At 50.6% G+C, this 26,155-nt stretch overlaps 1 protein-coding gene across 1 annotated transcript, besides 7 other annotated features; it reads right to left on the bottom strand.

The window, feature by feature from the left end:
- Positions 3,769-4,968: an enhancer, noted in NCBI's record as "BRD4-independent group 4 enhancer chrX:118902711-118903910 (GRCh37/hg19 assembly coordinates)". NCBI's record gives its function as "activates an origin of replication core promoter dependent on BRD2, P300/CBP, MED14 and CDK7 cofactors, and independent of BRD4, by STARR-seq in HCT116 cells {active_cell/tissue: HCT116}" and the evidence as "EXISTENCE:reporter gene assay evidence [ECO:0000049][PMID:35650434]".
- Positions 13,118-13,187: an enhancer, noted in NCBI's record as "active region_29897". NCBI's record gives its function as "activates an Ori minimal core promoter by ATAC-STARR-seq in GM12878 lymphoblastoid cells {active_cell/tissue: GM12878}" and the evidence as "EXISTENCE:reporter gene assay evidence [ECO:0000049][PMID:35858748]".
- Positions 13,198-13,267: an enhancer, noted in NCBI's record as "active region_29896". NCBI's record gives its function as "activates an Ori minimal core promoter by ATAC-STARR-seq in GM12878 lymphoblastoid cells {active_cell/tissue: GM12878}" and the evidence as "EXISTENCE:reporter gene assay evidence [ECO:0000049][PMID:35858748]".
- On the bottom strand, positions 13,514-15,128 carry SOWAHD (sosondowah ankyrin repeat domain family member D). The gene has a single exon (NM_001105576.3). It carries the CDS (start codon positions 15,046-15,048, stop codon positions 14,101-14,103), a length of 948 nt encoding a protein of 315 aa, NP_001099046.1. The 5' UTR covers positions 15,049-15,128; the 3' UTR covers positions 13,514-14,100.
- Positions 14,819-15,118: a silencer, noted in NCBI's record as "silent region_20966". NCBI's record gives its function as "represses an Ori minimal core promoter by ATAC-STARR-seq in GM12878 lymphoblastoid cells {active_cell/tissue: GM12878}" and the evidence as "EXISTENCE:reporter gene assay evidence [ECO:0000049][PMID:35858748]".
- Positions 15,229-15,378: a silencer, noted in NCBI's record as "silent region_20965". NCBI's record gives its function as "represses an Ori minimal core promoter by ATAC-STARR-seq in GM12878 lymphoblastoid cells {active_cell/tissue: GM12878}" and the evidence as "EXISTENCE:reporter gene assay evidence [ECO:0000049][PMID:35858748]".
- Positions 17,335-17,534: an enhancer, noted in NCBI's record as "active region_29895". NCBI's record gives its function as "activates an Ori minimal core promoter by ATAC-STARR-seq in GM12878 lymphoblastoid cells {active_cell/tissue: GM12878}" and the evidence as "EXISTENCE:reporter gene assay evidence [ECO:0000049][PMID:35858748]".
- Positions 17,545-17,604: an enhancer, noted in NCBI's record as "active region_29894". NCBI's record gives its function as "activates an Ori minimal core promoter by ATAC-STARR-seq in GM12878 lymphoblastoid cells {active_cell/tissue: GM12878}" and the evidence as "EXISTENCE:reporter gene assay evidence [ECO:0000049][PMID:35858748]".

Below are 26,155 nucleotides of genomic sequence, written 5' to 3'. Positions count from 1 at the left end.
TCTACAGACCATAGCCTCTTACCAGTCCCTCTAATCCTAGCCTACTCCTCTCCATCCCGAATCAGTGGGTTCTCAGCAGCAGTCCACATGCTAACGTTGATGCTTTTTTTTTTTTTTTTGAGACAGAGTCTCACTCTGTCACCCAGGCTGTAGTGCAGTGGCGCGATCATGGCTCACTGCAGCCTCGACTTCCCAGGCTCAGGTGATCCTCCCATCTCAGCCTCCCAGGTGGCTGGGACTATAGGCATGTGCCACCATGCCCAGCTAATTGTTTTCTATTTTGTAGAGATGGGGTTTTGCCATGTTGCCCATGCTGATTGAGAACTCCTGGGCTCAAGTGATCCACCCGCCTTGATTCTGTAATCTGTGGGATTACAGAATCCTAGTACTTTGGGAGGCTGAGACAGGCAGATCACCTGAGGTTGGGAGTTCGAGACCAGCCTGGCCAGCATGGTGAAACCCCGTCTCTACTAAAAATACAAAAAAATTAGCCGGGCGGGGTGGCAGGCGCCTTTAATCCCAGCTACTCGGGAGGCTGAGGCAGGAGAACTGCTTGAACCCGGGAGGCGGAGGTTGCAGTGAGCCGAGATTGCGCCATTGCACTCCAGCCTGAGCGACAGAGCAAGACTCCATCTCAAGGAAAAAAGAAAAGATGCCCGGGGCCTCATGAGTGAGTGTAATGGGTAGAGTGTTAACATAGCCTGAGCAGCAGGGAAGACATCCCCAAGGAGGTAACATTTAATCTGACACCTGAAATGAAGGATGAGTGGGTGAATGAAGGATGAGTGGGTCAGGTGAAGTCAGGAGCAAGGGAGAGGGGAAAGTGTTTCTGGAGAGTGAACAGCATGCAGGAACCCCAGGGTTGAGAAGAACATGGCTGTTCGAAGGATCAGCAAGGAGGACTGAGTGGCTGGAGCAGAGTGAGGGAGGGTAAGTGGGGAAGGGAAAAAACAACTTTGGGAGAGGCAGGGAGGGTGCAGTGGCTCATGCCTGTAATCCTAACACTTTGGGAAGTTGAGGAGGGTGGGCCACTTGAGCCCAGGAGTTGGAGACCAGCCTGGGCAACAGGGTGAAACCCTGTCTCTACAAACAATACAAAAAGCTAGCCTGGTGTGGTGGCATGCACCTATAGTCCCAGCTACTCGGGAGGCTGAGGTGGGAGGATCACTTGAACCCGGGAGGTCGAGGCTGCAGTGAGCTGTAATCACACCACTGCACTCCAGCGTGGGTGACAGAGTAAGCATCTGTCTCAAAAAAAAAAAAAAAAAAACAAAACAAAACAAACAACAACAACAAAAAACAGGACTTTGGGAGAGAATGTAGAGTGAAGAGAAAAGCTTCCAGAACTTCATCCTGGTAAACCCCAGCAATTAAAGCCATAGGAGGTTATGGAAGACTAGACAAGAGTTTCAAACAGGAGGAAGTAGCCAACATTGTTCAGTGCTGCCAAGAAGTGAACTAAGATAAGGACTTGGATTTGGCAGATGGGAGGTGCAAAGGCATGAATATATGTGTCCCTCTGAAATGTGTATGTTGTAGGCCGGGCACGGTGGCTCACACCTCTAATCCAAGAATTTTGGGAGGCTGAGGTGGGCAGATCACTTGAGCCCAGGAGTTGGAGACCAGCCTGGCCAACATGGTGGAACCCCATCTCTACTAAAAATACAAAAATTAGCCGGGCGTGGTGGCGGGCGTCTGTAATCCCAGCTACTTGGGAGGCTGAGGCAGGAGAATTGCTTGAACCTGGGAGGCAGAGGTTGCAGTGAGCTGAGATCGTGCCACTGCACTCCACCCTGGGTGACACAGTGAGATTCTATCTCAAAAAAAAAAAAAATGTGTATGTTGGAACTTAATCCCCAAGGTGACAATATTAAGAGGAGGGATCTTTGGGGAAGTGATTAAGTCATGAGGCTCTGCCTTCATGAATGGGATTAATGCCCTTATAAAAGAGGCGGCCGGGCTCGGTGGCTCACGCCTGTAATCCCAGCACTTTGGGAGGCCGAGGTGGGCGAATCATGAGGTCAGGAGTTTGAGACCGGCCTTGCCAACAAGGCCAACATCTCTACTAAAAATACAAAAAATTAGCTGGGCATGGTGGCGGGTGCCTGTAATGCTAGCTACTCGGGAGGCTGAGGCAGGAGAATTGCTTGAACCCAGGAGGCAGAGGTTGCAGTGAGCCAAGATCGTCACGCCACTGCACTCCAGCCTGGGCAACAGTGACAGACTTCGTCTCAAAAATAAATAAATAAATAAATAAGGCTTCAGAGAGCTGCCTGGCCCTTCCATCTCTTCCACCATGTGAGGACACAAAGGTGCCATAAATGAGGAACCACCTCTCACCAGACACCAAACCTGCCTTGATCTGGGACTTCCCTGCCTACAGAACAGTGAGCAACAAATTTCTGCTCTTTATAAATTACCCAGTCTAAGATAATTTTTTTTTTTTTTTTGAGACGGAGTCTCACTCTGTCACCCAGGGTGGAGTGCAGTGGCACGATCTCAGTTCACTGCAAGCTCCGCCTCCTGAGTTCACACCATTCTCCTGCCTCAGCCTCCAGTCTAAGGTATTTTGTTATAGCAACAAGAATGGACTAAGACAGGAGGTCATCATGGGGGACTTTTTTTTTTCTTTTGGCTCACTGCAACCTACACCTCCCGGGTTCAAGCAATTCTCATGCCTCAGCCTCCTGAGTAGCTGGGATCACAGGTATGTACCACCACACCTGGTTATTAGTAGGGACGGGGTTTCGCCATGCTGGCCAGGCTGGTCTCAAACTCCTGACCTCAGGTGATCCCCCTGCCTTGACCTCCCAAAGTCCTAGAATTACAGGTGTGAGCCACCACGCCCTTTCTGGAAGCAATTACTCTGGGATGATAGAGGCAGAAGCCAGAATGCAGAAAGTTAAGGACTGAGGAAGAGGTAAGGAAATGGAGATGATGAAGTGAGGAGACCTCTCAGCAGACAGGCTTTACTATGAAGAGAAGAGACAAGTTTGAGCCAGAAGGCTAGGGAAGACTTGAGCTTTTTTGTCACTCAGAGTGACACTCCTATTAATGACTTACTAAATGTCTGTTGTACATGGACACATAGAGGGGAACAACACACACTGGGGCCTATCAGAGAGTGGAGGGTGGGAGGAGGGTGAGGATCAAGAAAAATAATGGGAGAGTGCAGTGGTTCATGCCTGTAATCCCAGCACTTTGGGAGGCTGAGACAGGGAGATCACCAGATGTCAGTTTGAGACCAGCCTGACCAACATGGTGAAACCCCGTCTCCACTGAAAATACAAACATTAGCCAGGCAGGGCATAGTTTCAGCTACTCGGGAGGCCGAGGCAGGAGAATCACTTGAACCTGGGAGGTGGAGGTTGCAGGTGAGCTGAAATAGTGCCACTGCACTCCTGCCTGGGTGACAGAGCAAGACTCCATCTCTAAATAATGGGTACTAGGCTTAGTACCTGGGTGATGAAATAATCTGTACAACAAACCCCCATGACACATGTTTACCTATATAACAAACCCACACATGTACACCTGAACTTAAAATAGGCCAGGCGGGGTGGCTCACGCCTGTAATCCAGCACTTTCAGAGGTGGAGGCGGGTGGATCATGAGGTCAAGAGATCGAGAACATCTTGGCCAACATGGTGAAACCCATCTCTACTAAAAATACAAAAATTAGCTAGGCATGATGCAGCACGCCTGTAGTCCCATGTGTCCAGAATGTATTCCTTCCAGTGGGTTATTGGTCTCGCTGACTTCAAGAATGAAGCTGCAGACCCTTGCGGTGTGTTACAGCTCTTGAAGATGATGTGTCTCGGAGTTTGTTCCTTCAGATGTTCAGATATGTCCAGAGTTTCTTCCTTCCAGTGGGTTCGTGGTCTCACTGACTTCAGGAATGAAGCTGCATACGCTCACGGTGAGTGTTACAGTTTATAAAGGTAGAGCAACAGCAAGATTTATTGTGAAGACCAAAGAACAAAGCTCCCACAGCATGGAAAAAGACCCAACCAGGTTGCTGCTGGTGGTTTGGGTGGCCAGTTTTTATTCCCTTATTGGGCCCCACCCACATCCTGCTGATTGGTCCATTTTACAGAGCGCTGATTGGTCCATTTTACACACTGTTGATTGGTGCATTTTTACAAAGTGCTGATTGGTGCATTTACAAACCTTTAGCTAGACACAGAGCACTGATTGGTGCGTTTTTACAGAGTGCTGATTGGTGCATTTACAAACCTTTAGCTAGACACAGAGCGCTGATTGGTGCATTTTTACAGAGTGCTGATTGGTGCATTTACAAACCTTTAGCTAGACACAGAGCACTGATTGATGCGTTTTTACAGAGTGCTGATTGGTGCGTTTACAAACCTTTAGCTCCACAGAAAAGTTCTCCAAGTCCCCACTCGACCCAGGAAGTCCTGCTGTCTTCACCTGTCACCAGCTACTGGGGAGGCTGAGGCAGGAGAATCGCTTGAACCCAGGAGGTGGAGGTTGCTGGGAGCCAAGCCAAGATCACGCCACTACACTCCAGCCTGGCAACAGAGTGAGACTCCGTCTCAAAAAAGAAAAAAGTTAAAAATAAAATGTCTGTTGTACTGAACTAAACTGTGGGTAAGTTTGAAGATGCAGGAGAAGACAATTGATGTCAGTAAACCCTGAGAGGAGAGGCGGTTGAGAGCATGAGCGATATCTTGAAAGAGGACAGGCATGCTCCTTTGTCAGAATGAAGGGAAGGAGGGAAGATGGGGAGTCTTGGTGTGGAATATATGTTATGTTAGCTGGGGTTAGGGGGCATTCCCACAGATGAATAGGGCCAGGAGATGAAGGACTTGTATAATTTGATTCTCTTCAGAGGATTTCAGGTTTAACTCTGACTCCAGTTTATGACTTTATCTGAAAACAATATCTAACATATTTAATATTTGGTGGGCACTTACCAAGTTGCTCTTTTACTTCCGTGAGTGAAGAACAAGGTAAGTTCGCTGGTTGCAATTATGTCTGTCTTAGTCCATTTTTGTGTTGCTATAAAGAAATACTTGTAGGCCAGGCGCGGTGACTCATGCCTGTAATCCCAGCACTCTGGGAGGCCGAGGCGGGTGGATCACTTGAGGTCAGGAATTGGAGACCAGCTTGGCCAACATGGGGAAACCCCGTCTCTACTGAAAATACAAAAATTAGCCGGGCATGGTGATGCAAGCCTGAAATCCCAGCTATTCGGGAGGCTGAGGCAGGAGAATCCCTTGAACCCGGGAGGCAGAGGTTGCAGTGAGCTGAGATCACGCCACTGCACTCCAGCCCGGGCAACAGAGCAAGACTCTGTCTCAAAAATAAATAAATAAATAAATACTTGGGGGGCCAGGCACAGTGGCTCATGCTTGCAATCCCAACACTTTGGGAGGCCAAGGGAAGAGGATTGCTTGAGCCCAGGAGTTCGTGACCAGGCTGGGCAATATAGGGAGACATTGTTTGTATAAAAAAAAATTTTTTTTAAAAAGAAATATCTCATCTTGGGCCACATTAAAAAAAAAAAGAAAGAAGGAAATACTTGGTGGGGAAGGAAAGAAATACGTGAGGCTGGATAACTTACAAAGGAAAGAGGCTTATTTAGCTCACGGTTCTGCAGGCTGCACAAGAAGCATGGCACCAGCATCTGCTTCTGGTGAAGGCCTCAGGCTGCACCAGTCATAGTGGAAGGCAAAGGGGAGCAGGCATCACATGGTGATAGAGGAAGGAAGACAGAAAGGAGGGAAGTGTCAGGTTTTTTTCAACAATCAGTTCTCAGCCGGCCACAGTGGCTCACGCTTGTAATCCCAGCACGTAGGGAGGCTGAGGTGGGTGGATCACCTGAGGTCAGGAGTTCGAGACCAGCCTGGCCAACATGGTGAAACCCTGTCTCTACTGAAAATACAAAAATTAGCCAGGCGCGCGTCACCACGCCTGTAATCCCAGCTACTCAGGGGGCTGAGGCAGGAGAATCGCTTGAATCCGGGAGGCGGAGGTTGCAGTGAGCCGAGATTGTGCCACTGCCCTCCAGCCTGGATGACAGAGTGAGACTCCGTCTCAAAAAAAAAAATCAGTTATCACAGGGACTAATAGAGTGAGAACTCACCCTTTACTGTAAAAATGGCACCAAACCCTTGGTGAGGGGTCCACCCCCATGACCCAAACACCTTCTTTTAGGCCCCACCTCCAACATTGTGTGTCAAATTTCTTTTTTTTTTTTTTGAGACGGAGTCTCGCTGAGTCACCCAGGCTGGAGTGCAGTGGCACGGTCTCGGCTCACTGCAACCTCTGCCTCCCGGGTTCACGCCATTCTCCTGCCTCAGCCTCCCGAGTAGCTGGGACTACAGGTGCGTGCTGCCGCGCCCGGCTAATTTTTTTGTATTTTTAGTAGAGACAGGGTTTCACCACGTTGGCCAGGATGGTCTCGATCTCCTGACCTCGTGATCCGCCCGCCTCGGCCTCCCAAAGTGCTGGGATTACAGGCGTGAGCCACCGCGCCCGGCCCGTGAGTCAAATTTCAACATGAGGTTTAGAGGGGACAAATATTCAAACCATATCATTCTGCTCCTGGCCCCCCAAATCTTATGTCCTTCTCTCTTGCAAAATACAATCATCCCCCCAAATAGTCCCCAAGTCTTAACTTGTCCAGCATTAACTCCAAAAGTCCAAAGTCTCATCTGAGACTCAGGACAAGTTCCTTCCTGCTGTGAGCCTGTAAAATCAAAATCAGGCTGGGCACGGTGGCTCATGCCTGTAATCTCAGCACTTTGGGAGTCCAAGGCGGGTGGATCACCTGAGGTCGGGAGTTTGAGACCAGCCTGGCCAACATGGTGAAATTCTGTCTCTACTAAAAATACAAAAATGAGCTGGGCGTGACGGCACGTGCCTGTTATCCCAGCCACTGAGGACGCAGAGCCGGGAGAATCGCTTGAACCCGGGAGATGGAGGTTGCAGTAAGCTGAGATCGCGCTACTGCACTCCAGCCTGGGCGACAGAGTGAGACTCCATCTCAAAAAATAAAAAAAAAATCAAGCCGGGCGCGGTGGCTCACGCCTGTAATCCCAGCACTGTGGGAGGCCGAGGTGGGTGGATCACGAGGTCAGGAGATCAAGACCATCCTGGCTAACACGGTGAAACCCCGTCTCTACTAAAAATACAAAAAATTAGCCGGGCGTGGTGTGGACGCCTGTAGTCCCAGCTGCTGGGGAGGCTGAGGCAGGAGAATGGCGTGAACCCGGGAGGCGGAGCTTGCAGTGAGCCGAGATCGCGCCACTGCACTCCACCTGGGCCACAGAGCGAGACTCCATCTCAAAAAAAAAAAAAAATCAAAATCAAGGTATTTACTTCTGAGACACAGTGGTAGAACAGACATTGGGTAAACACTCCCATTCCAAAAGAGAAATATCCCCAAAAGCAAGGGGTAACAGGCCCCACACAAGTTCAAAACACAGTAGGGCAGACATTAAATCGTTTTTTGTTTTTTTTTTTTTTTTTGAGACAGGGTCTTGCTCTGTCGCTCTGTCACCCAGGCTGGAGTGCAGTGGTGCGATCATGGCTCACTGCAGTCTCGACCTCCTGGGCTCAAGCAATCCTCCCGCCTCACCTCCTGAGTAGATGAAACTACAGGCTTGCACCACCATGCCAGGCTAATTTTCTAATTTTGTGTAGAGACGAGGTCTCACTATGTTGCCCAGGCTGCTCTCAAACTCCTGGGCTCCAGCAACCGTCCTGCCTTGGCCAGCCATTAAATCTTAAAGTTCCAAAATGATCTCCCTTGACTCCATGTCCCATCATCCTGGGCACACTGGTGCAAGGGGTGAGCCGCCAAGGCCTCGAGCAGCCCCATCCCCATGGCTATGCTGGGAGCAGCCCATGTGGCTGCTCTCATGGATTAGAGTCCATTGCCACAGGCTTTTTGAGGCTGAGGATGAGTGCTGCTGGTGGCTGCACTATTCTGTGGTCTCGAGGGTGGTGGCCCTGCTTCCACAGCTCAACTGGCCCCTGGTAGGAATTCTTGCAGGGCACCACCCCTGCAGCAGACTTCTGCCTGGGCATCTAGGCTTTCCCATACTTCCTCTGAAATCTAGGTGGAAGTTGCCAAGCCTTCAGTCACTCTTCAATTTTGCAAGTCTGCAGACTTAGCACCATGTGGAAGCCCCAAGGCTTATGGCTTTGGGAGCAGCAGCCAGAGCAGTACCTGAGGCCCTTTGAGACTGGGCTGGAGCTAGAGCAGTAGGGATGCAGGTCAGTGGTACCCCAGGCGTGGCACCCTCTTTCCTTCCCTTCCACCCCCCAAAAAAACCCATTCTGTCCTCCTAGGCCTGTGGCCTTAGTGATTTTTTTTTTTTTCTTTTTTGATATGGAGTCTTGCTCTGTCACCCAGGCTGGAGTGCAGTGATACTATCTCAGCTCACTGCAACCTCTGCCTCCCAGGTTTAACCGATTCTCGTGCCTCAGAGCCTCCCAAGTAGCTGAGACTACAGGCACACACCACCACGCCTGATTTTTTTCATATTTTTACTAGAGACGGGGTTTCACCATGTTGGCCAGGCTGGTCTCAAACTCCTGACCTCAGGTGATCCACCTTTTGAGACAGAGTCTTGCTCTGTCACCCAGGCTGGAGTGCAGTGGTGCAATCTCAGCTCACTGCAACCTCTGCCTCCTGGGTTCAAGAGATTCTCCTGCCTAAGCCTCCTGAGTAGCTGAGATTACAGGCACCCGTCACCATGCACAACTACTATTTGCATTTTTAGTAGCGACGGGGTTTCACCATGTTGGCCAGGCTGGTCTTGAACCCCTCACCTCAGCCTCCCAGAGTGAAGGGATTACAGGCGTGAGCCACTGTGCCAGCCTGCCCTTAGTGAATTCTAAAATGCCTTCAGGGCCTTTTCCCATCTTGTTGACTATTAGCATCTGGATCCTTTTTAGCCATACTAAGCACTTCAGCAAGTGGTTGTTATGTCAAAAGTAAAAATATATAGCTTGTGAAGAACATCAGCAGAGGAGCCAACATCTCTTTTGAGGAACAGTCACTCCTCTGGCACAGATGGAAAATAACTTGCAATAAATGCAAATTCATTTTAAAGCTGACATAATGCAGGTAAACCACAAGATCCCTCCTGGACTACCCTAGCAGATAATGGAGTTTTGCCACAAGAACCTGCTGAGCCCCTTAGGATTCTTTCAAACAGCTGTTATTTCCTATTCCCTATGTGTCACGCAGTGTGCCAGATGTTGCACATACATTATCTTGAATGCTCAGAACAAACCTGCAAAAAATATTCTATTGGTCCCATTTCACAGATGAGGAAATTGCCACTCAGGCCAGCAAGTAGCTCAAGGTCATGAATCGGGAGCTAGGATTTGAACCCAGGCAAGGCTGAGAGCTTTCCACCACACCAGTGGTTTTGAATTTTACTCCAGGGGCCACCGTGTAGGACTGTCTGTCTAGAATAGAGGCGGGGGTGGGGAGATTTACACATGGGGATTCTAGGTAAGCTTCATTAGAGCAAAGACTTTGGAGGAGAAAAAAAGAGAAGTTTGAAAGGCACTGCCCTCACAGGGGTCTTTGAACTTCCTGGGGTGAAGAATGACTAATTTTTTTAGAAACAGGGTCTTGCTCTGTTGCCCAGGCTGGAGTGCCATGGCACGATCATGTTCACTGCAGCCTCTACTTCCTGGAATCAGGTGACCCTCCCACCTCAGCCTCCCAAGTAGCTGGGACTACAGGCAAACAGCAACTACAGGCATACAGCCTTGTTAGTATGACTTTTCTGAAAGCATTGCTTAGAAGTGTTTTGCTTTTGCGATGCATTTGCCGCCAGTTTTCTCCCCTGGCACATTCATCCTCCAGGTGACTGCTAGAGTGATCTTCCAAAATCTCATCATGCTACTCCTCTGCTTATAAACCCTCCATGATTCCCAACTACCTTTTGGCTAAACTTCATGAACCTCTTTTAGGTGATCTGGACCCCCTTCCACTTCTCCAGCCTTGCCATTAACCACTCCCCAGCTTCCACCCTCCTGCCAAACCCTCTGCCTTTATAGTGCATGGTACTTGCCACACTCAACGGTCAACTCCCACTCACCCCTCGAGCCTCAGATCAGGCACCACCTTCCTCCCCAAAAGCCTTTTCTATTCCTCTTGACCTGGATCCGGCCCTGCCTCCTGCGCTCCCTCAGCACCCCCTCCCCCTGATCCATCACAGCCCTGCTTCTGTCTCCTCTTCTTGCTCGGCTCCCCTGCTAGAATGAAGTCTTGCATCATCTGCTTAACTCCACTTTGCTCCCCTGGAAAGAGGTTTCTCGGGGAATTTGCTCTTTCTCTTGGGGTAAGCATACCAGTCTTGCCTCAAAAAGCATACCAGAAATGCCAACGGCTTGATGTGAGGCACGGAGAGTTTTCAGCATGGGAGTTTGTCCCCTGCAGCCAAACCTCAATTTTACATGGAGGAGATAGGCTAGGCAGTATCACATGATGAGAAAAATCTGTGGGGAAGAGTAGCTGACTACAGGAAAACTACAGAAAACCGTTTTCAAATCTTCCAGGTAATTTGGTTTTCGTTTTGGAAAGAGTAGGGTGAACGCTTGTCTCAGGCCCCCAGATCTGCTAACAGTTAAGATGCTTAGGTTCAAACTTTTCCTATAAAGAGGGGACTACTGTTATAAGTGTCCTTTGAATGCTCAGCACACACCAATCTTCCCTGCAAGCCAGGAGCCTGCAGACTCAGCCAAGTGGCAAGAAGGCCCTGCCCTGACAGCCTTCACCAAGCCCAACCCACCTTGGCAGCTATCAAGGGGGAGGTTGTGGAACAGAAACCACAGTCCTGCATCAGTTGGCCTGTTCGCATCTATAAAATGGGCACGGGGTGGAGAGAGTTAATGCCAGATGCCAATGCCAACTGCCAGAATCTAGGAACTGTTAGCCCTCCCTCCTTCAATTACTAAAGAAAAGAAGTTCATTTAGAAAAGACAAAGGAAGGCCAGGCACGGTGGCTCATGCCTGTAATCCCAGCACTTTAGGAGGCCAAGGTGGGCGGATCACCTGAGGTCAGGAGTTCGAGACCAGCCTGGCCAACATGGTGAAACCCCATCTCTACCAAAAATACAAAAATTAGCTGGGCGTGGTGGTGGGTGCCTGTAATCCCAGCTACTCAGGAGGCTGAGGCAGGGAGAATCACTTGAACCCTGGAAGCGGAGGTTGCAGTGAGCTGAGATCACACCATTGCACTCCAGCCTGGGCAACAGAGCAAGACTCCATCTAAAAAAAAAGAAAGAAAGAAAGAAAGAAAGAAAAGACAAAGGAAATGCTCTATTACACTGTGTAAGTGTGTTTAAGGTGTAGCTCCTGGAGACATGGGACAGGCTGAAAACAGCAAGGGGGTTTGGATCATTTCATGATTGAGAAGACCCTCATGGGTTACTAAAGGAAGGCAGTGTGGGCCAGGCACAGAGTCTTATATCTGTAATTCCAGCACTTTGGGAGGCTGAGGTGGGAGGATGACTTGAACCCAGGAGTTCGAGACCAGCTTAAGCAACATAGCGAGACCCTGTCTGTACAGACACACACACAAAAAAAATAGCTGAGCATGGCAACATGTGCCTGTAGTCCCAGCTACTTGGGAGGCTGAGGCAGGAGGTTCACCAGAGCCCAGGTGTTTGAGGCTGCAATGAGCTATGATCGTTGCCACGGTACTCCAGACTGGGTAAGAGTGAGACGCCATCTCAAAAATAAAAAATAAAGGAAAGTAGGAAAGTTTTGAGCACAGAAGCAAACAGGCCCACCAGGCAGAGATGGAAACCTGGATGGATGGGCTCAGGGTGGCGTTTCTGGGCTGTTTGTTAGTGGTGACTGTTTCTGGCTGGTGTTCACGGACTGGGATGAGAGGGCTGGGGAACGCGACAGTCCATTGCAAGGGCTACCCAAGCCTTCAGGGATACAGTGCTATTTTTAAAATGCACTGTTCTCCAAGGCAGCATGGGTCTGTAGCCAGCAACTGCTTTCCTGGCCTTTCAGGCTCAGTCAACCCTCCTGTAGTCTATTTAATTCATGCCATTTCTGAATGGGAGCAATTTTGCAAGCTACAATTTATGCATTAAACTTAACTTTTTAAAAAGAATTTTACGTAAGTGAAATATATATATTTATTGAGATAGGGTCCCACTCTGTCACCCAGGCTGGAGTGCAGTGGAATGCTTTACTCACTGCAGCCTCCACCTCCCAGGCTCAAGCAATCCTCCCACCTCAGCTTCTCTAGTAGCTGGGACTACAGGCCTGCACCACTACAACTGGCTAATTTTTGTATATTTTTGTAGAGACAGGGTCTCCCTATATTGCCCAGGCTGGTCTAGAACTCCTGGGCCCAAGGGATCCTCCTGCCTCAACCTCCCAAAGTGCTGGGATTACAGCTGTGAGCCACCACACCCAGCCTTAAACTTAATTTTTTAAATGCTGCTGAGCAGGTGTGGTGGCTCGTGTCTGTAATCCCAGCACTTTGGGAGGCTGAGGCAGGGGAACACTTGAGGTTAGGAGTTCGAGACCAGCCTGACCAACATGGCGAAACCCCATCATTACTACAAATACAAAAATTAGCCAGGCGTGGTGGTGCACGTCTGTAATCCCAGCTACTTGGGAGGCTGAGGTAGGAGAATCGCTTGAACCCAGGAGGCAGAGGTTGCAGTGAGCCTAGATCACGCCATTGCACTCCAGCCTGGGCGACAGAGTGAGACTCTGTCTCAAAAAACAGTAATAATAAATAAATGCTGCTGGCTGGGCGTGGTGGCTCATGCCTGTAATCCCAGCACTTTGGGAGGCTGAGGCAGGCGGATCACTAGGTCAGGAGTTCGAGACCAGCCCAGCCAACATAGTGAAACCCCGTCTCTACTAAAAATACCAAAAAAAAAAAAAAAAAAAAAAAATCAGCCGGGCGTGGTGGCGGGTGCCTGTAGCTATTTGGGAGGCTGAGGCAGGAGAATTGCTTGAACCCGGGAGGCAGAGGTTGCGATGAGTCAAGATTGCGCCACTGCACTCCAGTCTGGGTGACAGAGTGAGACTCCATTTCAAAAATAAATAAATAAATGCTACTGAGGAAAGCCCCATCTTGGAAAAAAAAAAGTGCCCGTGGGTGTGTCTCATTAGAGGCCACAAATCAAGGTAAATTACATGACTGACCGTGGAAATATCAGAAATGTAAATTTGGAAACTTTTGCCTTTTACCCCCAACCCAAGGCCCCTATATGACAACTCTTCTAGGATGAGGCTGGTGCCTGAGGCCAGACCATCAAAGAGCTCAGGACAGAGGTGAACTGTATGTTTCTCCTCAGATCCAAGTGGAAGTAGCTTCTTCTGTGCACAGCTCTGGCCATTTGTTCTGAGAAGGAGGCCCAGAGCCTGCCCCGGGGGGCACAACATCACGGCCATGGTTGGGTGACCTCTACCCTGCAAACATATGCAGTTTCTTCCTTTGTGGTTAGTAAGGGAGGTGGGGGAAAACACTGAAAGGACAGCCTTGTCATGTGAAAAGAACACATATTCCACTTTAATATACATAAGAAGTAACCTGTGATACATGAGAAAAAGTACCAGTAAGGCTGGGTCGTCTCAGGAGGAGGTTGTCAGAGGCTGACTCTACCCGCACCCCAAGACCCATTAATGGCCGAGCGAGGCCGGCAGAGTTAGGCGTTTTCTCTGCATTGGTGGTTTACAATCTTAACTCATTCTTCTAGCGAATGTTTCCTAATAAACCCAGCGCGTCGGCCTGCCCAGAAATGGCCCCTGGAAGCTTAACTTGCCCTCTCCCAAGCAGGACCACGCTCCCTGCTCCCAACTCCTTAGTCCTGTAGCTTTGGAACTCGGAGCCAGGCCAGCTTGGTCCTTCACTCTCTCTTGGTGAGGTGGTGCCCGAGTCCCCGGGTCCTCCAGGCCGGTGGTTACAGGAGACCTGAGACAAGTACCTGAGTCGGACCCCGACGTGTTCTGTTCCTTGCAGGCCCAAGCAGCGTCCAAGGCGCCTCTCCTTCGGTGGAACCCGGGACAACCCAGGACCTAGCCATCGCCACAGTGTCACAGCCCCTCCTAGCTCTCCAGTCTCTGTCCCTGTCAACGGTCCTGGAATGAGGGGAACAGATGGCGGAAAAGGCTATGCATTTGCGCCACCCGGCTGCCCGCGGTGTCCTTCGCCTTGGTCCGCGACGCTGCCACTCTCCTGCTTGTCTCCACAGCCGTCGCGCCCACTGCGCTCGCGGCCCTCCACGCAGTGGTGCCACTGCTGTTGTTGTTCAGGTTGGTGCACCCGCTGCCGCTCTCCATCTCCCATTCCTCGGCTCCCGACAGCTCCCGCAACCTCCAAGGCGCGTCGGGCCGCAGGTAGTGGCAGGCCCGGTGGCCGCTGTGGTCGCGGCGCGTAGCGTCAGCACCCAGGGCGCCCACCAGCACCTTGATGACCATGTCGTGGCCCTGAAGGGCCGCCAGGTGGAGGGGCGTGAGGCCGCCGCTGCCTGGGGCGCTCACGTCGAGCCTCAGCCCCCGGCGTAGGGCGAAATCGTGTACCAGAATGAGCTCCTCGTGGCGCCCGTGCTTGGCCAGCCAGTGCAGAACCGAGTAGCCGGTGATCGGGTCGCCCCGCAGCAGCAGCTCCGGCTCAGCCTCCAGCAGCTCCCGCAGCACCTCATAGCGGCCCTCGGCGGCTGCCAGAATCCACGCGTGCTCCCGCGGTTCCAGGCACAGCCTGCTGCTGCCCGGCCCACTCGGCCCGCCCAGCTCCTCGGCGCGCTCCTCCGACAGCCACCCCGCAGGAGCCGCCCGCTGCAGCCCCAGCAGTTCCCGCAGCGCTCCCCGCCGGCGCCCTGAGCCCGCTGCAGAGTGCATCAGCGTGCCTGGGAAGGGGTGCTCCCGGGAGGCGGCGGCTGCGGCTTTGCCCCAGTACCTGCCCAGGCTACCAGTGTCCGCTCTCGAGGGGCGGGGCTGCGGGGCGCACCGCAGGCTCTGCGAGGTCGGCGCGAGAGAGGCCGTGGGTGCCCGGTTCGCGGCCCCTCCGAGCTGGGCCATGGTCTTGAAGCTGCCGCCGCGGCCGTCCCAGTGTCCAGCGTTAGCTGCCCTTCCCGGGCCCCAACGGGAGAGGAACTGGCGCTGGCGTTGGGGAAGGAAGCTGCTTGAGCAATTGGGTTCGGAGGGAGGGAGCAAAGGAGAGGAGGAGGAGGAGGAGGAGGAGGAGGGAGGGAGCTAGGGGAGGGCCCCCGCGCAGGCCTTGGGGGGCGTGGAGGGGTGTGAGCTCCAGCCAAGTCCCCAGGGCAAGCCCAGCTCCACTTCCCTGGGTACCGCCGCCTCTGCAGCTCCCCCGGGTCGCGGGCGGTCCCACCCCAAACGGCCAGGTGAGCTCGGCAGCCCCGCCTCCAGCACCGAAGGGCGGGCGCGGGGACTGGCTGGGAGCTCGCCTGCGGCCCTGGAAGCCGCGGTTCTCAGCATCCCAGCCGGGGCTAGAGTGTAGAGGCGCGAGGGCGCCCCTTCCGCAGCGGGCCGAGCTCGGCTTCCAGCCACGGTCTCCCAAAGCGCGGTCCTGGAGCTCCGAGGCTCTGGCTCCCCGCCCCCTTCCTTCGCCCTTCCCTCTTATCTCTTCAGGAGTCTCCCTGCACTTTGTCCCGGAGTTGCCATTGTCCCGCGCCTAGCATTCACGCAGGCAGCTCGACTGCCCCATGTGACTGGCTCGTCTGCCTGCCTTGCCCTTTGTGTGGCCTTGACCCTCGCCGCAGCACCCGGGGCTGCCCAGGATTCCAGCAGAGAAGCCCAAGACCAGGGTCCAGGCTGACGCTCTTCCAGGGAACTCAGGAGGGATATTCCCCTTCTGCACCGCCCTCTCTGTCCTGCTCTCCACCCTCTTCCCTCCCGTCAATTTTCCCAGGTTGGCTTGGAGAAGCAGCTACAGGTGAATCTGAGCCGGCGCCGCAGGAGCGCCCTGTTCTCTTTAGAGATGCATCCCTGCTCTCTCCCCAGGGCCCCGCTTTCTACAAATTCAAAGCTTAGGGGCTTTTTAAAAAAGGATATTTTTTCTTTTTCACTCCTAATACCAGCGTACTCTTTGCTCTTCCCTTCCCTTAGTAAATAGTGGTTCTTGCCTCCACACCCCCAGCATCTTAAGGAGCTCAGTCAGTGAGCAACGGGGAGCCATAGAAGATTGTTGAGCCGGGGAGAGACACAGCCATGATGGAGGTTGTGTTAAAAAGGTGATTTGGGAGGTGCAGAGGCAGGAAGTCGGAAGACTGTTCCAGCAGTCTAGGCCAAGGGGGATGGAGGCTCAGGCCAAATCAGCCCACTCCCTCGGGGCCACCTGTGGCAGCAGTGATAGAAGGTATCGGAAGCTTTTCTTCCTTGGCCCTCACGTATTTGGAACAAGTCCTAAATATCTAGAGCTTTCCTTCAGAACAGTTTATGCATTTGTAATTTGGTTTTGAACATTTACTATGTGCCAGGCACTGTGCTTGTTGCGTTATATATGTTAACTCTTTTAATCCTCCCAGTGACCTCAAGTGCTGGGAATCATTACTGTCCCCAGTTTGCAGAGAGGTTAGGCTACTTGCTCAAGGTCACCCAGCAGGAAGTGGCAGAGCAGGTCTGTGCGACACCATAGCCTTTGTTCTGGTACACAGGAACTGGCATTCAAGCCTGGCTTATCAACTGCAAATCACATACAAGCCCCAAATTCCAGCCAAAAGGATAGACTTGTAACGTGAGCGTATCTATAACTTACACTCCTCTGCCTGGAAGAGCTTCTATGTAGTGAAGTTCTTTTCTTTCAAGGTTGCGCTTAGTTTCCACCTCTAGCAAGCCTCCTCTGATTATCCCAGCCCAAAGTGATCCCTCTCTTTCCCCAGCCCTGTGTTTCTGCTACTTCTTTGGCCCCAAGACTGCCTTGTGTTACATCTCTCTCCCCTTGCTCTCATATGCCAATTAAACTATAAACTCTTGGACAGCTATGTCATACTATCCTTGTGCACCTAGTAGTTATCCAAGAAATATTTGTTACCTTGTTCTGGTTTGGCAGGCTGGGAAAATGTGATTGTGTGTGTGTATGTTGGGGGCGGGGGACATGTATCCACAATCAGCACCTCAATGCCTGCTCCCACATCCCTGCTCCAGACTCCAATCTGCAGGACATCAAAAGCAACTCATAGATTTGGTCAATTCATTTTTCTTTAAAAGAGATTCAGTGGTTTATTCACTGAGTTGACTGGCCAAAGCCACCTCCTGGCCTTCGCTGACTTCTCAGAGACCAGGCCTAGGCCCAGAATGGGCCCCAAGCTTTCAGGCTTTCATTTTCAAAATGAATCCTGACTGACAAGCAGCTACTTCCGTTGCTCTGGAGACTCCTCTCCGCAACCCCAGATCTGTAAACACCAAACCGCACACAGGCACACACACTTCCAGAATATGCAAACAGCTGCAGCAATATTTTTTTTTAAGTCAAAATGCCAGCATGGAAAATGCAGGATGGAAGAATGCTTGGACTATTAATTTTCGTCACCACTAAGCAGGCAACTCTCTTCCCTATCAGCATGAATAATATCTGTTTCCAGTTCAAAGATTGCAAAGGCAGCCGCCTGACCAGTGCCACAGACCCATGATACATGTGCCCTTGCTTAACTCTGCTGCTAGAGACCAAAGCCACGGTGCCTCCCTAGCAACTTGTTTCATCTTTAATTAGCAAGTGCTTTCTACCCTAGGTCACCAGCTGCACACACCACTCCCCAGAACCGCAACACCCATCTCTATTTTAGTAGAGAGGGTCTCAGGAATTTGATAGCAGGGAGTAGGGCAGAGGGAGTGGAAAACAGAAGGGATAGTACCCACCCACCTAAAATTAACATGCCAGTTATCTGAAACATCTGCTACCCCTCCAAGGGAGTGGGGCAAAAACCCCTCAAGCCCTGGGAAATGACTTCCCAAAAAGCTGGAGGTAGAGTAGATATTTGCATTGCAAATTGTAATAATACTGATGTCTTTTCCAAATAGCAGCCTCTCTAATATATTTGTGGGTTTATTTACTAGATCTTGGACTATTAGAACTAGAAGAGATCGGCTGGGCGCGGTGGCTCATGCCTGTAATCCCAATACTTTGGGAGGCCGAGGCAGGCTGATCACGAGGTCAGGAGATCGAGACCATCCTGGCTAACACGGTGAAACCCCGTCTCTACTAAAAAATACGAAAACTTAGCCGGCCGTGGTGGTGGGTAGTCCCAGCTACTCGGGAGGCTGAGGCAGGAGAATGGCGTGAACCCGGGAGGTGGAGCTTGCAGTGAGCTGAGATCACGCCACTGCACTGTAGTGTGGGTGACAGAGCGAGACTCCGTCTCAAAAAAAAAAAAAAAAAAAGAACTAGAAGAGATCTTAATGTTTCATTGGCCTTTATTTTCCAGATGAGGTTTAACTAACTCAGGGAGCATGGCAGAAGGCAGAGGAACAGAGAAGCTGATGTGTTAGGCGTACACTGAAAATCTATCTTGATGAAGAGAGCAGCTCAGAAATCTTAGGGGATGTCAGTAGGAAATCATAGTTGATCTGCAAAAATTTAATTTACATGAAACTTCTCAGAAACATGCTCCTTGGGCGAAGCCAAATGCTGGTGTATCCTTGGGCTCTCAATGGAGTTTGCCCCGGGGGCTTATGGATTCAGAAAAATCCATGAGTGCAAAACAGTTGAGAAGCAGATGTGTGGAATATGGGAAGTAAAGTCCCTCAGGCGTCCATAACCCTCGGTCATGGAGGGAATGGGGAACATTCTTTTTTTTTTCTTTCTTTCTTTTTTTTTGAGACGGAGTCCCATCTGTTGCCTAGGCTGGAGTGCAGTGTGGTGTGATCTCGGCTCACTGCAACCTCCGCCTCTCTGGTTCAAGTGATTCTCATGCCTCAGCCTCCTGAGTAGCTGGGATTACAGACGTGCACCACCATTCTCAGCTAAATTTTGTATTTTTAGTAGAGACGGGGTTTTACCATGTTGGCCAGGCTGGTCTCGAACTCCTGGCCCCAAGTGATCCACCCACCTTGGCCTCCCACCACACCCGGTGGTGTGAGCCACCACACACGGCTGGAACATTCTTGGGGTTCCAGATATAGAATGTAAATTTCCTTTCCTCCAAAGACCTGTGCTGATATCATCATGATTCTCAATGAGAAACCTATGAAAGAGAGAGAGCTCCTTTCTCTCTGTTTGCATGTGAATGTGTGTGCAAGAATGGATGTTTGAGTGGTATGTATGTGTACCAGACATCACTGTCTGGTTGTGTGTATAATGTGTATGTGTCTGTGTGTATGTACTCTGCCAAACATCACTTTCCCCTTCCCAAATGTCAGACCTTTACATGAGATCTCATTTTGGATCCCTTTTCCTTAGACTATGGAACAAGTCATATTTGGTAAACACTTTAAAAATTATTTCCTAGTACTTTGGAATTACCCCCACCTTCCCACCCCCCTCCCCCGCCAATCCTGCAGTAAGACCTGATGTATCCAGTTAAAAAAAGAACTTACAATCTTATTTTGAGAGCTTACTGAGCTTGGAAGAGTAGAAAGTGGTAGAACCAAGTTGACACCAGGGCTTCTAAAAATGACTAAGGAGAAAGGGGTGGGCAGGGAGCAGGAAGAAATCTGTAGGCCTGAGTGGAAGCAGGAAACCTGCCTAAACTCAAGCTGGAATGGCTTAATTGGAGCCTGAGAGTCAAGCATGGGCTTTGAAGTGTGACGAGAAAAAAATTTCCATTACACATTTTATTGATACTGAGATTAAAAGAATGCCACATCCTGTAAAAGACTTAAGGTATTACCATATGGAGACACATGAGGGCGCTCTGACCAACTAGCAACTGAGAAAAGTAGAAAGGCTGTGTCTGTTTCAACCTGTAGGCAACGAAAGAGGCATGGCAGGCCCTTTGTTTAATTTTTTTTTTTTTTAGGACAGGGTCTCGCTATGTTGCCCAGGCTGGTCTTGAACTCCTAGGGTCAAGCGATCCTCCCACCTCAGCCTCCCAAAGTGCTGGGATTACAGGCATGAGCTACCGCGCCCAGCAACAGGCCCTTTTGTTTTGTTTTGTTTTGTTTTGTTTTGAGACAGTCTCACTCTGTCACCCAGGCTGGAATGCAGTGGCACGATCTCGGCTCACTGCAACCTCTGCCTCCCAGGTTCAAGCGATTCTCTTGCCTCAGACTCCCGAGTAGCTGGGATTACAGGTGTGTACCACCACACCCAGCTAATTTTTGTATTTTTAGTAGAGATGTCATTCCCCTGTGTTGGCCAGGCTGGTCTTGAACTCCTGGCCTCAAGTGATCCACCCACCTCTGCCTCCCAAAGTGCTGGGGTTACAGGCGTGAGCTACTGCGCCCAGCAATAAGCCCTTTGTTTATATGAATTCAGGCTTCTACCCTGGAGCAGGTCATTGGCCCTTAAGTAGTTGCTGGGAAGAAGGTACTAGCCCTAGGGGTGAGGGGGCTGGCCTCATCTTGAAAGGAATGTGAACCATCAGGAGAGAGGGGGAGGCCAGTGAGCAGTACAAAGTGGTTCCTTCCTTACTTTATCAGTTGGCTTCTGTCATACGTAAGGCTTGGAATAATAAACTCTTAGTTTTCAGAGTGCTTTCATATTTTTAATTATCTCTTGACCCAGACAGCAAGCTTGTGAGATATGTAGAGAAGACAGTATTTATATGCAATTCACACACAAGGCTGAGGGAGGTTAAGTGGCCTGCCCAGGGTCACGCGTCTCGAAAGTGGTAGAGCAGGGTCCGTGCTCATGCCTCTGTTTGATGCTGCCATACTGTACATTTGGGTACGGCTGACAGGAACAGCTCTTAATAAAATTGTGCAGTGGGTAAATGTTGTCCTTGGCGCCTTCAGCCATCTATTTCTGACATCCAGGCATCCTGTACCCCAGATCACCTAACGTAGCACTCTGTAATAACAGTGATTACAGCTGCCTACTGTTCATTAAGCACTTAGGTGGCTGGTGACTTAGGTCCTGTGCCAAGCATTAAATATGCATTTTCATACATGAATGGTCACAGCAGAACTATTTACAATAGCCAAAAGGTAGAAACAATCCCGATATCCATAGTATATCCATACCATGGAATGTTATTTGGCCATACAAAGGAATGAAATAGGCCAGGCACAGTGGCTCACGCCTGTAATCCCAGCACTTTGGGAGGCTGAGTCGGGCAGATCACCTAAGATCAGGAGTTCGAGACCAGCCTGGCCAACATGGTAAAACCCTGTCTTTACTGAAAAAAGAAAATACAAAAATTGCCAGATGCAGTGGCTCACACCGGTAATCCCAGCACTTTGGGATGCCGAGGTGGGTGGATCACCTGAGGTCAGGAGTTTGAGACCAGCCTGACCAATATGGTAAAACACCATCTCTACTAAAACTACAAAAATTATCCGGGCATGGTGGTGCGTGCCTGCAGTCCCAGCTATGCTGGAGGCTGAGACAGGAGAATTGCTTGAACCTGGGAGGTGAAGGTTGCAGTGAGCCAAGATTGTGCCACTGCACTCCAGCCTGGGAGACAGAACGAGACTCCATCTCAAAAACAACAACAACAACAAACCCCAAAAATTAGCTGGGCGTGGTGGTGGGCGCCTGTAATCCCACTTACTTGGGAGGCTGAGTCATGAGAATCGCTTGAACCCTGGAGGCGGAGGTTGCAGTGAGCCAAGATTGCGCCACTGCCCTCCAGCCTGGGTGATAAAGCGAGACTCAGTCTCGGAAAAAAAAAAAAAAGGCCGGGCGCGGTGGCTCACGCCTGTAATCCCAGCACTTTGGGAGGCCAAGGAGGGCGGATCACGAGGTCAGGAGATCAAGACCATCCTGGCTAACACGGTGAAACCCCGTCTCTACTAAAAATACAAAAAATTAGCTGGGCATAGTGGCGGGCACCTGTAGTCCCAGCTACTCCGGAGGCTGAAGCAGGAGAATGGCGTGAACCGGGAAGGCGGAGCTTGCAGTGGGCCGAGATCGCGCCACTGCACGCCAGCCTGGGCGACAGAGCAAGACTCCGTCTCAAAAAAAATAAATAAATAAAAAATAAGGAACGAAATAACTGACACATGCTACAACATGGAGGAATGTGAAAAATACTATGCTAAGTGAAAGAACCAGACACAAAAGACTCTTCTGATTCCTACAGGAGATGTCCAGACGAGGCAAATCCATACAAACAGAAAGTAGGTCAGTGGTTGTCAAGGCAGGCATGAGGGAAGAGGGAGAATAGAGAATGATTGCTAATGGGTATGGGTTTCTTTGGGGGTGTTGAAAATATTCTGGAATTAGATAGTGGTGATGAGAGGTGACAGCGTGCTGGCAGTCCTCAGAGCCCTCGCTTGCTCTCGGCGCCTCCTCTGCTTGGGTTCCCACTTTGGCGGCACTTGAGGAGTCCTTCCGCCCGCCGCTGCACTGAGGGAGCCCCTTTCTGGGCTGGCCAAGACCAGAACCAGGTCCCTCAGCTTGCAGGGAGGTGTGGAGGGAGAGGCGCGAGCAGGAACCGGGGCTGCGCGCAGCGCTTGCGGGCCAGCTGGAGTTCTGGGTGGGCGTGGGCTTGGCGGGCCCCGCACTCGGAGCAGCCGGCCGGCCCTGCCGGCCCCGGGCAATGAGGGACTTAGCACCCAGGCCAGTGGCCAGTGGCTGTGGAGGGTGTACTGGGTCCCCCAGCAGTGCCGGCCCACCGGCGCTGTGCTGGATTTCTCGCTGGGCCTTAGCTGCCTTCCCGCGGGGCAGGGCTCGGGACCTGCAGCCCGCCATGCCTGAGCCTCCCACCCACTCCATGGGCTCCTGTGCGGCCCCAGCCTCCCCGACGAGCACCACCCCCTGCTCCACGGCGCCCAGTCCCATCGACCGCCCAAGGGCTGAGAAGTGCAAGCACACGGCACGGGACTGGCAGGCAGCTCCACCTGCGGCCCCAGTGCGGGATCCACTAGGTGAAGCCAGCTGGGCTCCTGAGTCTGGTGGGGAAGTGGAGAGTCTTTATGTCTAGCTGAGGGATTGTAAATACACTAATCAGCACCCTGTGTTTAGCTCAAGGTTTGTGAGTGCACCAATCGACACTCTGTATCTAGCTGCTCTGGTGGGGCCTTGGAGAACCTTTATGTCTAGCTCAGGGATTGTAAATACACCAATCGGCACTCTGTATCTAGCTCAAGGTTTGTAAACACACCAATCAGCACCCTGTGTTTAGCTCAAGGTTTTGAATGCACCAATCGACACTCTGTATCTAGCTGCTCTGGTGGGGCCTTGGAGAACCTGTGTGTCAAAACTCTGTATCTAACTAATCTGATGGGGACGTGGAGAACCTTTGTATCTAGCTCAGGGATTGTAAACGCACCAATCAGCGCCCTGACCAAACAGGCCACTGGGCTCTACCAATCAGCAGGATGTGGGTGGGGCCAGATAAGAGAATAAAAGCAGGCTGCCCGAAGCAGCATTGACAACCCGCTCCCGTCCCTTACCACACTGTGGAAGCTTTGTTCTTTCACTCTTTGCAATAAATCTTGCTAATGCTTACTCTTTAGGTCCACGCTGCTTTTATGAGCTGTAACACTTAACCGCCAAAATCTGCAGCTTCACGCCTGAGCCCAGTGAGACTACGAGCCCACTGGGAGGAATGAACAACTCCCCACGCGCTGCCGTAAGAGCTGTAACACTCACCGGGAAGGTCTGCAGCTTCACTCTTGAGCAAGTGAGACCACGAACCCACCAGAAGAAAAAAACTCCAAACACATCTGAACATCAGAAGGGACAGACTCCAGACGCGCCACCTTAAGAGCTGTAACACTCACCGCGAGGGTCCGCGGCTTCCTTCTTGAAGTCAGTGAGACCAAAAACCCACCAATTCCAGACACGGTGATGGTTGCACAGCCTTGTGAATATACTAAAAAGCACTGAAATATACACTTTAAAGTGGTGAGTTGCTGGGCGCAGTGGCTCATGGCTGTAATCCAAGCACGGTGGGAGGCCGAGGTGGGCAGATCACCTGAGCTCAGGAGTTCAAGACCAGCCTGGCCAACTTGATGAAACCCCATCTCTACTAAAAATACAAAATTAGCCGGGCTTGGTGGTGCATGCCTGTAATCCCAGCTGCGCAGGAGGCTGAGGCAGGAAAATCGCTTGAACCTGGGAAGTGGAAGTTGCAGTGAGCCGAGATCACACCATTACACCCCAGCCTGCCCAACGAAAGCTAAACTTCGTTTAAAAAAAAAAGTGAATTGTATGGTATGTGAATTATAGCTCAGTAAAGCTGTTGCCATAAAGTGCATTATGTCCCTTAATCTTTACAACAACTCTAAGAGACTAATGAGAATCTGAGGCCCAATGAAGTTAATTGACCACGTTCACACAGCTAGTAATTGGCAGGAAACCCATCCAGCTTCAACTGATTCCAAGGCTCATACTTTTAACCATCATGTTACACTGGGTCTAATGCATCCCTCATTTACATAGAGGATGTTGTAAAAGCCAACACTCATTGAGGCCTTAATATGTGCCAAACACTATGCTAATCACATCACATTCATGATGCTTAACATTATGGTAGATATTAAAGCAATAATCTCCAATTTTTTTTTTTTTGAGATGGGAATCTGGCTGTGTCACCCAGGCTGGAGTGCAGTGGCACCATCATAGCTCACTGCAGCTTCTAACTCCTGGGCTCAAACCATCCTCCCACCTCAGCCTCCTGAGTAGCTGGGAGTACAGGCATGTGCCACCATGCCCAGCTAATTGTTTGTTTTTTGAGACAGAATTTCGCTCTTGTTGCCCAGGCTGGAGTGCCATGATGCCATCTTGGCTCACTGCAACCTCCACCTTCCGGGTTCAAGCGATTCTCCTGCCTCAGCCTCCCGAGTAGCTGGGATTACAGGTGCCCACCACCACGCCCAGCTAATTTTTTTGATTTTTAGTAGAGGCAGGGTTTCGCCATGTTGTCTCAAACTCCTGACCTCAGGAGATTCGCCTGCCTTGGCCTCCCAAAGTGCTGGGATTACAGGCGTGAGCCACTGCACCCAGTCCCAGCTAATTTTTTAAAAATTGTTTTAGAGATGGGATCTCACCATATTGCCAAGGCTGGTGTCCCAACGTTTTAAATTGCATGCCCCTATAATAAAAATATTTTGAGCAGATATTCTCAACATTCGTGAATATTTTGCAATTTCAAAATGATGTGTGTGTATTACTCTATGAAATATGTATATTATAAAGCATACACAAAAAGGAAATTTTAAAAGGATGAGACAAAGATAAAATATAGTTTAAAATAATTTACAGTTTTATAATGCTTGTAGTACAAAACTATTTGGATATTCATTAAAATTTTATTATTAATTTTTTCACAAGAGAATGTGATTGCATATGCTTCGTTTTTAAAACATCTTTTTTTTTTTCTTTTTTTGAGACAGGGTCTCACTCTGTTCCCCAGGCTGGAGTGCAGTGTTAAGAATACAGCTCACTGCAACCTCAACCTCCTGGGCTCAAGTGATCCTCACCCCCAGGCCCCCAAGTATCTGGGACTACAGGCGTGTGTCACCATGCCAGGCTAATTTTTGTATTTTTTGTAGAGATGAGTTTCACCATGTTGCCCAGGCTGGTCTCGAACGCCTGGGCTCAAGCAATCTACTCACCTTGGCCTCCCAAAGTACTGGAATTACAGGGGTGAGCCACTTTACTTAGCCATTTTTTAAAAATCTAACATCATTGTTATTAGAAAGTGCTGGCTGGGTGCGGTGGCTCACACCTGTAATCCCAGCACTTTGGGAGGCCAAGGCAGGTGAATCACCTGATGTCAGAAGTTCGAGACCAGCCTGGCCAACATGTTGAAAAACCGTCTCTACTAAAAATAAAAAATTAGCTGGGTGTGGTGGCACACGCTTGTTGTCCCAGCTACTCGGGAGGCTGAGGCAGGAGAATCACTTGAACTCAGGAGGTGGAGGTGTAGTGAGCCGAGACCTCGCCACTGCACTCTAGCCTGGGCACCAGAGCAAGACTCCGTCTCAAAAAAAAAAAAAAAAAAGTGCTAGGCTACTATGACCGTTCTTAGGTTAACACTATAATGCAGCTCTTTGAAGGTGCGGATCTTACTTTATTGCAGCACTCAGTTTTAGTGGATGTCACACATAAGCAAGATGT

The sequence above is a fragment of the Homo sapiens genome, chromosome X (assembly GCF_000001405.40).
Source record: "Homo sapiens chromosome X, GRCh38.p14 Primary Assembly".
NCBI lineage: Eukaryota > Metazoa > Chordata > Mammalia > Primates > Hominidae > Homo > Homo sapiens.
The sequence above is the reverse complement of the archived record's forward strand: the minus strand, read 5'-3'. Positions and strand labels throughout refer to the sequence as shown.